This window comes from Homo sapiens, chromosome 13 (genome assembly GCF_000001405.40).
Source record: "Homo sapiens chromosome 13, GRCh38.p14 Primary Assembly".
Lineage (NCBI taxonomy): Eukaryota > Metazoa > Chordata > Mammalia > Primates > Hominidae > Homo > Homo sapiens.
In genome coordinates, this window is record NC_000013.11 from 48,509,622 (window position 1) to 48,522,868 (window position 13,247).

General features: G+C 37.4%; 1 protein-coding gene across 18 annotated transcripts in view; it reads right to left on the minus strand.

The window, feature by feature from the left end:
- The window catches only part of RCBTB2 (RCC1 and BTB domain containing protein 2), a 46,933-nt gene that overhangs the window by 20,659 nt on the left and 13,027 nt on the right, over positions 1 to 13,247 (minus strand). For 3 of the 18 annotated variants that reach the window (XR_007063658.1, XM_047430067.1, XM_047430068.1), the window contains exons 1-7: positions 7,669 to 8,847; positions 5,965 to 6,120; positions 5,584 to 5,734; positions 3,108 to 3,274; positions 2,395 to 2,553; positions 2,149 to 2,256; positions 1,008 to 1,150 (exon numbers count right to left, since the gene is read on the minus strand). Coding sequence is in view for 16 of the 18 variants with exons in the window: in XM_047430067.1 (XP_047286023.1) it covers positions 1,008 to 1,150; positions 2,149 to 2,256; positions 2,395 to 2,553; positions 3,108 to 3,274; positions 5,584 to 5,734; positions 5,965 to 6,120; positions 7,669 to 7,740 (956 nt within the window). In the remaining 2 variants the exon portion in view is untranslated. Of the gene's footprint in view, positions 1 to 1,007; positions 1,151 to 1,536; positions 2,257 to 2,394; positions 2,554 to 3,107; positions 3,275 to 5,583; positions 5,735 to 5,964; positions 6,121 to 7,668; positions 8,848 to 12,276; positions 12,342 to 12,686; positions 12,783 to 13,247 lie in introns of those variants that run through there. The other 15 variants (NM_001352429.2, NM_001286831.2, NM_001352426.2 and 12 more) reach the window with 10 other exon arrangements.

A 13,247-nucleotide genomic window follows, 5' to 3' on the forward strand; every position in this document is an offset into this window, starting at 1 on the left:
GAGAAAAAAGTTTTATTTAACCTATAAAATTAACCTATGTTAAATTGGTTAAATAAAACTTTTAAAACATAGGTTAAAGAAAGTCAGCCAAGTTCACAATACCCAAATGAAAACTGAGGCAGTTGAAAAATGACAATTTGGTTCTTCATTTTCATTGTTAAGTATTCCAGCAGAAAATTAGAAAAGAACTGCATATAAATGTGAGCTAATCTGTTTGTCTACATATTTCTTTTAAAATTAAATATAATAAAGATATATGCAGTAAAAACAGCAGCATTCATTTCTACAATGACTGCAACCCTGGTTTAAAAGAAAAGATAGTGAAACGTTTTTGCTCTACACTACTATCAGGAAATGAAAAGTGGAAAGGCAGTGATCTGACCATGCTTGAGAAATTCCAAAGGCTTTCAAAAATATCAGAATAACGTGGAAACTAATTCTGGATGTGCTAATTACATAACACAACCTTGCAAACAAGTGCACAAAAGTAAATCTTAATTTCCTAACCATTTTACTCTTCCTCGTAGTGACAGCTTGGGAGTTAAAGTAATGAAATAACCCTATCCTTCTCAACTGGCAAATTTCCATGTAGCTGAGTGACCAGCTTTATACCCCATGCAAGGTACCTTTTCCTAAGCCAGGGAAGAGCGACCTTGAATGTTATTGACACCCCCTTAAGAATGTAAAACAGGAAAAGGAGGAGGGCAAAAGGGTGATTTGTAAGGCAGAAGAGTAACAGAATAGCTGTTGCAAGTTTAGTCACTGCAGTTTGCTTAGAATAGCTGTTGGAGGTATAGATGAAACATGGGTAAGTGAAAATAGCATATTTAACATACAATCAACCTCCCCAACAATTCCAAAGCCAATTTTTCTAAAGGAATAAATACTCTTGTTAAATAATATTCTAACACTAGCAGTACATTCCCCACCATTCTCTATATATCTAAGTCCTGTTTAATCACAATCACCAAAGACCAGTGTGGGGACTGTGAAAATGCCCGTGTTACCTGTCCTTTTCCACAGTGACAGGAGTAGGATAGGACTGGTTGCTTTTATTGCCAGTGCCCAACTGCCCATAAGAATTGGCGCCCCAAGCATACACTTGGCCTTCATCTGTTAATACTAATGTGTGTGCGTAGCCACAGGCGACCTGGAAGGAAAAAAATCCACTCAGGACTGCAAATATAAGTAATTATTTCACTGCTTCCACAAAGTAGGTTAAGAATCAAAAATGAAAAAAAAAGGAAGAGGCAGCCTACCCGTAGGAGAGGCAAGCATTAAGTTAACCAACATCCTTCCAGAACATGTGGGCCAGAATTGCAGTAAGATTGCCATGAGTACCCTGGCGTGAGCACCTGCCCCAGTTCACTAGAGCTTTAATACTCACAGAAATCAAGGGGTATGAGGGGAATGTAAGAAACAGACACTTGTATTTTTTAAATAATTATTTTCTTTTTTGATTATAAAAGTAAAACATGTTCAATTTGAAAAATATAGAAAAATATAAATATAAAAGTACTCTGAATATCAGAGGCATTTTTTTTCTATTTCTATATAGACATAGAGATATGTACCTATAGCATTTTTTTACTGACCATGTTGTATAAGCAGTTCTGTATCTTGCTTCATTTTACCATTACACATAGCAGTTTTCCATGTCATTAAAAATTCTTTGTATACAATACATCATCTCCAGCATATATACTTGGCATAATTTATCTAATCATTAACTTACGATTTGATTAGTAAATTCTGTTACACCTATTTTTTTTATTAAAGTTATCCTCTTTTTATATGTATATGTATCTTCTTAACTAATTCTGTAAGACAGTTACAGGAATTGTTGGTTCCTCAGGGAAATTCCCTAGGAGTAGAACTACAGGTCAAAGGGTATAAAAGCTTTTAAGCTTCCTCAGGAAAGCTTGTAACAATTTATATTCCAAAAGGTATGTGACAGTGCCCTGGAAGAGAAATTTTCTGAACAGCTGCAATTTAATTCAAGGAAAAAGAGACTTAACCTTTACTTTAATGAAGACATCCAAGCAGCTAAACTTTTCATCCTGCCAACAAATCTATGTTTTTAATACATTGATATCTTTGCCAGCGAAGACTTAAAAATACACGCACACAAACTGACAGTGGACGTACCCTCTGGACACGGATGCCTTGCAAAGCTGCCACTCTGCAAGGGGTTGGCTGGTTGCCACTGTTGCCGAGTCCAAGCTGCCCGTTTCCGTTGTAACCCCAGACATAGACCTGAGAGAAAATGAGACCCTCAATCCTCTCAAGAGACAAATGGCCAGCAAGCTGTCTGTTATGTGGGACATACCATACTGGCATGAGACTGATGTGGCAAACACGGTTTTTAAACAAGATGTAAAATAACTTCCTTACCTCCCCCGTGTCTACTACTGCCATGCAGCACATCTGCCCACATGCTATGGTCACAACTACTTTATTTTGTAGGCAGCCAGTGACTCTTCGAGGGATTGGCTGATTAACTGTTGATCCAGATCCTACCTGCCCAGAGTTATTATAACCCCAGGCAAATACCTGTTTAAAGGAAAGATCAGTAAATGAAACAGATTAATTTATAAACTGTCTCAACTGGACACTGACATGTACTTGTGGCACCGAGTCTTTCCTCTCAAAGTGCTTCACATTCATAAATCCTCACAACACAGGCAGAGAAGTGTTTATAAAATGCATTCTTATACAATGTACATGATTTTATACAATTAGGTTATTGGTGTTATCTATACAAACAGTAATAATTACTATTAAATAAAATGTAACACAAAAGTATCTACTTTGCCCCAGCCATCTTTTCCAGCATTTGGGGATTTTTCTTATTGCAAATAACCTCTTTACTACAGCAACAGAGAAGGAACAATACCTCCTTTTAAATTTTGCAATTATGGAAGACCTTACTACGTACAGGTAAATGTCACAACATCAACACCCTGACTGTGAATTGCTACCAAAAATAAGGCTGAATTTGAGGGAGGTGGTTATTTTAATCAAATGATTGTATTTCCAGGACTACTATAGAAGTCTACATAATCTTATTGAAAAAAATCAATGAGCTTTATGCTGACTGTTCTCACCTCTCCATCAGATGTTAGCACCAAAGAATGGTAAGACCCACAGGCAACTTCAATGACTTGTTTGTTTGACAGATTAGTAGAGATATGACAGGGCACTAAACCATGATTAGTTGTCCCATTGCCCAGCTGGCTATAAGCATTATGACCCCAGGTAAAGACTTCTCCTTCTGAAAATAAAAAGAAAGACAATCAGTTTTTTACAACATCTACTTCATTATACGAAAATATATGTAGCACAGCTTCCACAAATGAAATCTAAAAATTCAGGTGCAAAAAGCTAATCAACTTCCCCATTCCACCAAAGTCATTCTACAAAAGAATCTATTTGGAAAGTATAAACTGCATTCTACCTCAAAGCAACAAGGTGAAATTTAAATGCATGCAGTTATAATAACTGGAAAATAAGTTTTTAATAAAGAGCAGAGAAAAGGCTGCTGGGAGTAATAGCAAAAACATTAGAATGAAGTCAAATATTAGAAGGCCACTTAACTCCCCTAGGTCTTAATTTCCTTATCTTTAAAATAATCACCAAGTTGATTTTTAAAAATCTTTGTTATTATTTATTGGGTAGCATAATATACAGAAAAGTTAATAAAACATATATGTACAGTTTTACAAATTAGAAAGCACACACCCATGTACTACTACTTAAGTCAAGAAATATAACCTTATAATCACCCCCCAAAAGGCCCTCACATATGCATCTTGCATACAAATGTTTAGTTTTTCCTGTTTTTGAAATTTAAATAAATGGAATCATACAGTTTGTACTCATTTCATCTGTATTTTCCAGCATGTTGTCTCTTAGTGTTATATTCTGAATAGTGACTTCTCATTTATCTTCTGGTTTACTAATTTTACTAATTTGCTGTGTTCAAACTGCTACAAAATTTGTCCACTGAATTTTCATATTGATAATCATATTGTTCATTTGGATCTTTTCAAATCTTCTATAATCCCTGCAGATTATTTTCAAGCTCATTTTAATTTCTTCAAATAATAAATACAGCTGTCTTATAATTGGTGTCTGATAATTTTAATGCCTGATATTTAGTAATCCGTTCTTGCTGTCTGTTGTTTCTTCTGGTTCCCATTCATGGTACCTTGTTTCCTTGCATAGCAAGCCCCCCTTATCTGCAGGAGATACATTCTAAGACTCTCGTACTGAACCTGTATATACTGTTTTTCCCTATACGTATATACTTATGATAAAGTTTAATTTGTAAGTTAGGCATAGTAAGAGATTAACAACAATAACTAATAATCAAAGAGAACAATTACAAAATGTACTGTTCACAATGTCACAGATAGAAGATTTGTTCTTACCATAAATCTTAACAACCTCAGCATGGAAACTCTCCATTTTTCATTTAAAGCAAGAACCGTATGGTTTCTCTTTGGCATATCCAAATTGCAAGCATCACTACTCTTGCACTTTGGGGCCATTATTAAGTAAAATAAGGGTGACTTGAACACAAGCACTATGAAACCAAGAGAGTCAATCTAATAACTGAGACAGCTACTAAGTAACTAACGGGTGGGAGTGTCTATGGCAGAGATGCTGGACAAAGGGATGGTTCATGTCCCAGCTGGGATGGAGCAAGATGGTGAAATATCACCCTACTCAGAATGGCACACAATTTAAAACTTATGAATTGTTTATTTTGGAAATTTTACATTTATACTTTCAGACCACAGTCAACTGCAGGTAACTGAAACTTGAGAAAGTAAAACCAAGGATAACGGGAGACTACTGTATATCTGGTTATCTCTGACTATGTGCTGCCTATTGCCACTGAACAATTATTTTGGTTAATTCTCTCAGGCCTAGGATAAAGGTGCCTTCCCCTAGAAAGGATCTGCATTAACTTCTATCATGCCCTTAAGGCACTTGCCATCCAGTACCTTGAATAAATTCAAGGGTTGAGATTTCTTGGACCGTTCAGTCTTGATGTGAATTAAACTACAAATCCATGGTTACAACCTTTTGGGGAGAAGTTTTATTTATTTTCTTCCTTTTTTCCTCCTTGCTTCACTCAGAGCAAGGAATTTTTCTAGTCAATCCCTTATGAAGTGGCTAATCCCTACTACTAATGCCAACTACAGCCATCAGTCACTCTTTAGTGTAAGAATCACAGAATGCTAAGAGTTGGCGGGGGGATGTTGGACACAAGGTTTAGTCTTTCAATTCATAGATCAAGAATCCAAAGTTCAGACAGACTTGCCAAAGTCCACAATCAGTTCGTCAGTGTTTACTGGGCTTACAGCGTTGTCATTCATACATCTAAAATGCCAATGATTCCTAGATTCCATCTGCCACATCACCTTATGCTGGCATTCAGATACATTCATGTTTTATGGTATCCAAAACATAGTCAATTTCACAGGAAGAGCTAGCAACTCTCAACCAATTAAACAATGTTCTCAAGGGCAGCTGCGAATAAAGCTGAAATTCTACATGGGGTTCCTAGGTTACCTGTTGTTGCAAGGACAATATGTGGACCACTCCCATAGCTGAGGCAGGCTATTTTTTTGCCATTTAAAGAATCCAGTCTCCGAGGTTCAATGGTGCTCTGGACGTCACCTAACCCCAAACAGCCACAGCAGTTTGTGCCAAGCACAAAAATCTATGGGAAAAACCACTGTTAGTTCAAGCAGTTCTATTTCTAACAAATCTATAAATTACATCCAAACAGGAATCATCTTCCTTAAGCAAACTGCTTCTTTATATAATAAATAAAACCTAATTTCCATGCTTTTTTTTTTAACCTTTTATTCCTTAGTTCCCCCAAGATCTTCAATTTGGCAAATCCATTTCTAAAAATGTGAGTAGCTGATTTATTTTCTTCAAAATTACCTCATCATTTACTGTAGTGTATAAAACTTCATTGCCAGCACTGCCAAAGACACAAGCCTGACGAATTAACTGTAGTTCTTCTTCAGAACAAAGGGAAAAAATTGGCCACTTTCCCACATCTAACATCTTCAAAGATGACAGAGTAGCCTGTACTGGCTGAAAAGGAAAAAATATATGTTGAAATGACAAATTAAAAAGTGAATTTTCTCTGCCCCTTCAGTTCTGTAGAAGAGGGCGAACACTGGTTTTGGGAGGAACACACTGCATCCATTTTTGAGAGGCCTCTCGCAGCTGCAGGGATTGCCTCTGCCAGCTGCTTTTGGGCGGCTCACAGCCATCGAGCAGCGGAGGCCCGGATGGAACCAGGTCTCCCCTACTCATTGTCCTCAAGGACACAGGAGTCATCCAAAGCTGGGCTTCTGGGAACTGAATGTTCAGCAGATACTTTAAATATTGGCTATGTCTTAAAAGTAGCTGTGGAAACTAGGCTGGTTGTAAAAGCAAGAGAGACAGAGAGAGAGAGAGAGAGAGAGAGCTGCCATGTCATCTGCTCTCTAAGTCAAGAACAATGCTTGGTAAAGAACAACGCTGAAAGTGACACCAAGGAAATGGTCCGAAGTTTTAGTTCATGGGCAAGCTTTACTTGGCCTTCAGTTTAAGGAATTGGTGGGTTTCCTCATCCCTCAAGGAAGTTTGGGGGTTGACAGGAATTAACACCCAGAAAACACGTGTACTTGTTTGTTAAGGCAGCCGTAACAAAGTAGTGACAAACGAGGTGGCTTAACCAACAGAAATTTACTGTCTTATGGTTCTGGAAACTGGAAGTCCAAACTCAAGGTATCAGCTAGCTAGCTCCTTCTGAGGGCTGTGAGGGAAGGATCTCTTCCAGGCTGTGCTTCTCAGCTTGTGGATGGCTGTCTTCTCCCTATGTCTGTTCACATCATCTCCCCCCATGCCCTGCATATCTCTGCATCTAAATTTCCCCTTTTTATAAGGACACCAATTATATTGGATTAAGGTCCACCCTAATGACCTCATCTTAACTAACCACATCTGCATTGACCCCATTTCCAAATAAGTTGCACTGTGAGGTACTGGCTGTACTTCAACACATAAATGTTGCAGGGTCACAATTAACCCCCTAACAGCATACATTAAGATCACGAGCACCCACACTCCTATAAGAGGAAGTTATAAATTTGTTTGAAAGAGTTTTACCTATTTGCTACTTAGGAGGCATTTTTATTGATATACTTTTCAACTTGCCAACATTTTGTAGGTTATAATAAGATACATAAACAGCCAATATGTCTATCAAATGGCATGTCTGCTATTTCCCACAGCATCAACAAACTTACACATTATTTAAAGCAACAAAGATTTTCTAAGGCCTCTCTTTCCCATCAGTTATTAAATCAACCTTACCGGGAATGTGGTCTGGTGTATAACTGAGTGGACTATCCACTTACCTTCTACAGATCTGAACACCTACTTGTCCCTTCCACCTTAGGAGAGCACAAGTCAGCAACTCTGCTCTTCTCAAGTCCACACTATTAACTTAGTAAGCCTCCCCTGTCCTCATTACCATGAATTTCTCTGGGGCCACCTTCACAGACTCCTGAGTACACTTCAGGAGGACAGAGACCGAGTCTTTCACCACCATGTCATCCATCCCTTGAAAGGAGCTAACAATGCAATACCTACCTTTGTGTTGGTTAATGAACAAGTAAATGAATGGCTGTGACTCATTTCCAGATTCACAGCCCTCCTTTCCATCTCATCCTCTGTAACTCCTTCACACGGAAGCCATTCCGAAAACTGGGCCCCAAATCCCTGCTCTCGGCTCCAAGCTCTCCATTTCTACTTCACCTGAGCCATATCATCAAACACAACTTTGTTACTAAGTCCTCAAACTTTTAAGTTTCCTTCTGATCACGGCCAACAGTATTAACTTGTATCCAAAGTAAAGTTTGCAGTCAGTAAAGGGAAGCTAGGATGCACGGAGCAGCTGTCCCAATGGCCACTGGACCTAAAGCAAAAACAAGCAGAGCCACCAGCTTTTTTCTTGTAAATAAAGCTTTGTTTTCAGGTTTCTATCTTTTCTGAATAATCTTCATGGCACTATTGAATGCTGTAGCTAAAAAGAGCTCAAAAGATAGTTTTCTGAGAAACCCGAAGAAACCCCAGAGAGGAGCTGCAGTGGGTTGAATGGCTTCCCCCCAAAGTCCAAATCCACCTAGAACCTCAGAAGGTGATTTTGTTTGGAAATAGGGTCTTTGCAGATGTAATGAGTTAAGATGGAGTCATACTGGATTAGAGTGGACCCTACGTCCAATGACTAGTCTCCTTAAAAGAAGACGAGAGGGCACACAGTGATGCACAGGGAAGAAGGCCAGATGACAACAGACACAGGGACTGCAGTAATGCATCTGGAAGTCAAGGAGCAGCAAGGATTGCTGGGGGCCACCACCAGAAGCTGAGAAGATTCTTCCTGAGAGATATCAAGGGAGCATTGCCCTGATGATGCCTTGATTTCAGACTTCTAGCCTCCAGAACTGTGAGAAAAGAAATTTCTGTTGTTTGAATTGTAGTCATTTGTTACAGCAGCACAAAGAAACTAACAGAGAAGACAAGCAGCTTGTCCCTGCTATCAGCATCACCCTGTGAGTTAATGGCAGAGCCTGTACCAGGGCTAAGCTCTCCTGATGCCAAATCTAGTCATGTTCCCTCACGTGCCACTTGGATCATAAGACCTTGCCCTAAAAAGGACACCTTCTGTTATCTTTTGGGCAACACCAACAGTTGGTTCTCCCATTCACTTTTGAAACAGTGCTTACTGTTTCTGCATTTACTTTAATTACAGAGTACTTTGCAAAAAAAAAAAAAAATATATATATATATATATATATATTTACCTCTTAGAGGTAGGAAAATCCACAGGCATTTCCTACAGGACAACCTTAATTTGGAATTTGGAATTCAAAAAAAAATCTCACATATGTAAGAAGTTCCAGTTATATGCAAGTGTAAAACTATGTCCCCAATTTTATTATATATATAATTTTAGGAACACAGTGTTCTATGGTGATGTTACATTAATTGAGGAATCCAAGAATCTTTATTTAAAATTTGTATTTCTTCTCTATGACACTTGGTTTACTGAAAAAAGAGCAACTTGCCCAAGGCCACAATAGAGCTAAGGATGGAATTTTGTTACGTTAGCTTTTAGTTAAGCTTCTACTTTAAATTACCCCACCACCCAATATCATGAAGAAATCTTATTTTCTATGAGGCCTTCGTTTTTAATTTTTTTCCTATTTTAAGTCTGTAAATTTCCAAAAGAACAAGGTTTAGGAAGTGGAACAAGTATTTAATGTAGATGTTAATAATCTAATAATGTCTATATCTTATATCTTATTTCTGATCTTCACAACAATTGTAGGACATAGATATTATTATCCTCATGTTACCTATGAGGAAACTGGGGCACAGGGAGACTAAGTAATCTTTCAAGATCACTAGCTTCTCAGTGGATGAGCCAGATTAAAGCCCAGAGTTCTTTCCACATATCATCTGATTGTTGAGTAAAAAGTTTACATAAACTGTGATACTGCTGGTAGACCTAGTGTTTGCTTGCATCTGCAGGGCTTTGGCTATTCTCAGACTCCTTAAGGAACAGGCAATAATACCTACTGTGGGTTGTCTTCCACAAACAGCACACATGGAAAGATACAATGACTGACGGCTATTTCATTTTTCCCTTGCAAGCAGAGTTTTATATTTCGTCCTGCTCTGCTATAAAATCAAGTGGTTTTCTGGATGTCTAGAATCAGGCTGTAAATTCCAGCCAGCTCTTACATACCTGTCTACAAATGATTAGTTCTAGGCTTTCTTCCTGGCCCACCTGTATAAAAACCTATGGTACCCAGCCCGTAACTCTACTGGCTACTGGGATTCCAATGCGTGTGTTTTCTTTAATGAAACCTCCAGTCTGTAAGTTTTATGAAATGATGCTACAAGTCAAGAGAATGTGGGATCTGATAGTATCATTGACTAAGGTACAAAAATAAGACATGATCATTCTCTTCAAGGAGGTCACAATTTAATAGAAAACAAATAATTACAATATAACCTAAGTACAACAGAGATGTGAATACATTGCTTTTAATTTCTGGCAGAAGGCTGGCTGTTGGAAGTTAGTCATCAAAGACTCAATTTTTAAGTTTGTTAGGGCAACTATTACATAGGGAACTGATGACTAAATTTATAAAATGCATGTATTTGCATTTTTTGAAGTACATATTTAATACAGGCTGAGCATCCCTAATTCAAAAATCTGAATCCAAAACCCAAAACTTTTTGAGCACCAATTATGATGTTCAAAGGTCCTGCTCAAAGGAAATGTTCATTAGAGCATTTCAGATTTCAGGTTTTCAGATTAAAGATACTCAACTGGTAAGTATAATGCAAATATTCAAAAATTAAAAAAAAAATCTGAAATCCAAACACTTCTGGTCCCAAGCATTTCGGATAAGGGATACTCTACCTGTGTCAGTCTCAAGGAATTACAGCATCTTTGTTCACAGAAGCAATATACATTCTTCTGTCCAGCACACTCATGAAACAATGTAGGATTCACACAATAGTCCCCCATAGGAGCCTCAATCTATCTGCAGCCATTCTGCATGACAGCAGCTGTCTCTGCAGAATGACCCAATCAACTCCGTGCCCAACTGTCAAGTAAGAAACTGGCTGAGCAAGAGCCAAGTATGGTCAAGAGAAAAATCTGTATGGGGAAAAAAGCACTACTAAGGAATGAGAGCATGGCAATATGGTGTCCCTAGAATTCAGTCCTGGTTTGGCACAGGTAACCTTCCTTACTGCAAATAACACTACTGCAGGTGATAATTAACCCAGACTGGCTTTCTTTTACTACTTTTCTCACATCTAGTCCACCTCCCCTTCCTTCAAGACCTGGCATCTGTTTGAGAAATGTCAAGTAGTGAAATTTTAATATTAGCTCAAGGAAAACATAATTAAGGAAATACATCTGCCACAAAATTAGAGACCAAATTGCACTTTATTATTCCTTTGAGTGTGTGATACCTGTATAACTATGCTTCTCCAGCAATATGAAGAATCGAGTGTATAACCAAACTTCACTTAATTACAGACAGCTATCAAGTTGTTGCAATTCAATTTAAAATACAGTATATTTAAAGAGAATCAAAATTACGTTAGGCATACCTAGCAAAAAAGAGTTAAGAAAAAATGCCAACACCTCAACTTTTGAGTACTTCCTAGCATTATAACACTTCATATATATTCATTATATTCATTATATCTTATAAATATATTCACTATGTAGTATTCATTATATCATATTCATTCATTATAACACTTTGTATATATATTTGTATATGTTCAATCACTATGTAGTAATAATATAGTAATTTCATTGCTGATTCTGTGAAACTATTCTTTATTTTATGAAAGCTGTTCCTAGGAAAAATTAGGAATTTTTCTGTTAACATTTTTGTAGGACTCTCGAGTTCTATACATTACTTTTGTAAACTACTTTTGGACTTTCCTACAAGGGCTCACAAATGAACACTTAAGTCTGCACACGGTAATGCTACAGTTTAGTTTCAAAAGCTTTGCCATCTTTGTATACAATGCTGGCTTTGCATAATTATTTACAGTTTTATTGAATTTTGACCTGATTTTATTAAATAATAGTGAGTTAATATTAAGCTGTTAATAGCAATAAGCAGATATTATGTAAATTTAACAAAATAACACAAGATGGAAATCAATATGCGTGCAGGAAGATGTGAGGCTTTTAACAACAACTGGACACTGAGTAGACATAAGTTGGTTGACTGTCATGTTCAGATGTGATGAAGAAAGAAATTAAAGAATGTCTATGATGAATTGAGAACATATCATCTAAGATCAGACAGTTTATAATTTTAAAAATCTCTGGGAATGGGATAAACATTGATCAACTCATAGCCTCTTGCAGGCCAGCACTGTCTGAATGCAGGGGATGGCCTTTGCGCCTCATCTGTCACTGTCACCATCGCTGGGAGCCCTTTCTCTTAACCTGAGGTATATCAGTTTCCTGCTGGCCCCTTCAGCATTCTCCATACCCACAACGATTATCTGTTGGCATCTCAGTGATTACACTGTGAGCCCCTCAAAGATAGATAGTATCTCATTGATTTTCCTATCGGTGACCAATAGGTGCTTCATGAAGTATGTTTCATGCAACAGAACACACATGCTCCAAGGGCATGATTTTTTTCTAACCTTGCCACTGTCTCCAGAGAAAAGAGGAAGTTCTTCTTCCATATGGACTCAGTCCTGGGCAGTCCCTGAGGAAAAAGTATGTGGTAAAATCAGGATCCCTTATGTTCGATGGAACCAGGCAGGTTAAAATTACTTTACTTCTAATTAGCAGGGAAAATAAGCTAAGCTCAAATGTTGTGAAAGGAAGATAAAGGAATTAAGCTTTAGGCATGGGAATGAACAGCTATAAAACTCCAAAAATGTTTTAACTGTTCTGGAACTACTGGATGGCCTCTTACGGGAATCTTCCTGCTGAGGTCTGAAAAAGTAGTCTCAAAATTCACATGGGTCCTTAACTCTATAAAGGAAATCAGTAGAAAATTTTCATTTCAGAGTTGACTTCCTGTGATAAGGAAAAATAAATTTTAGACCTTTGTCAACTTTTCTCTGGGATTGGAAAGTTCCAAATCACGGGGAAGAGCGGACATCAATTCTCAGCTCCACAGAAGAATATATGATTTGCTAAGCTGGAAAAAAAAAAGGAGAAATGAATGAAAATGATGAAAAAAATGAATGAATGAATGTGGCTTTGTTATTCTGGACTTAATGAAAAATCTGAAACAACAGCCATCAAATATGTAGCAATGCACTAAATGTTCTTGCCTTAATAACCATGCCCACATCACCTACTTTCTACCAGGTAAAAGTAACAGCAGGAGCAGCTCTAGCAGAAGCTATGCAATATGTCTGGACTGTGGTTTAATCATTATGTAGTTAACGATTTCATCATTAAAAATAAATAAAAATAAAATATTCTCTCTCCTCCAAAAAGCAATTTAATAAGGCTGTATTTAATGATGTTGCTTTTTCTAATTGACGAGGTAGGGTCTATTTACTTAAATACAATCTATTATTTCAGGTACTAACATCAGAACATTTTATCTGGTATTTTCTACAGTAGAGTGAGAGCCTCATAATAGACAGATAAAAAC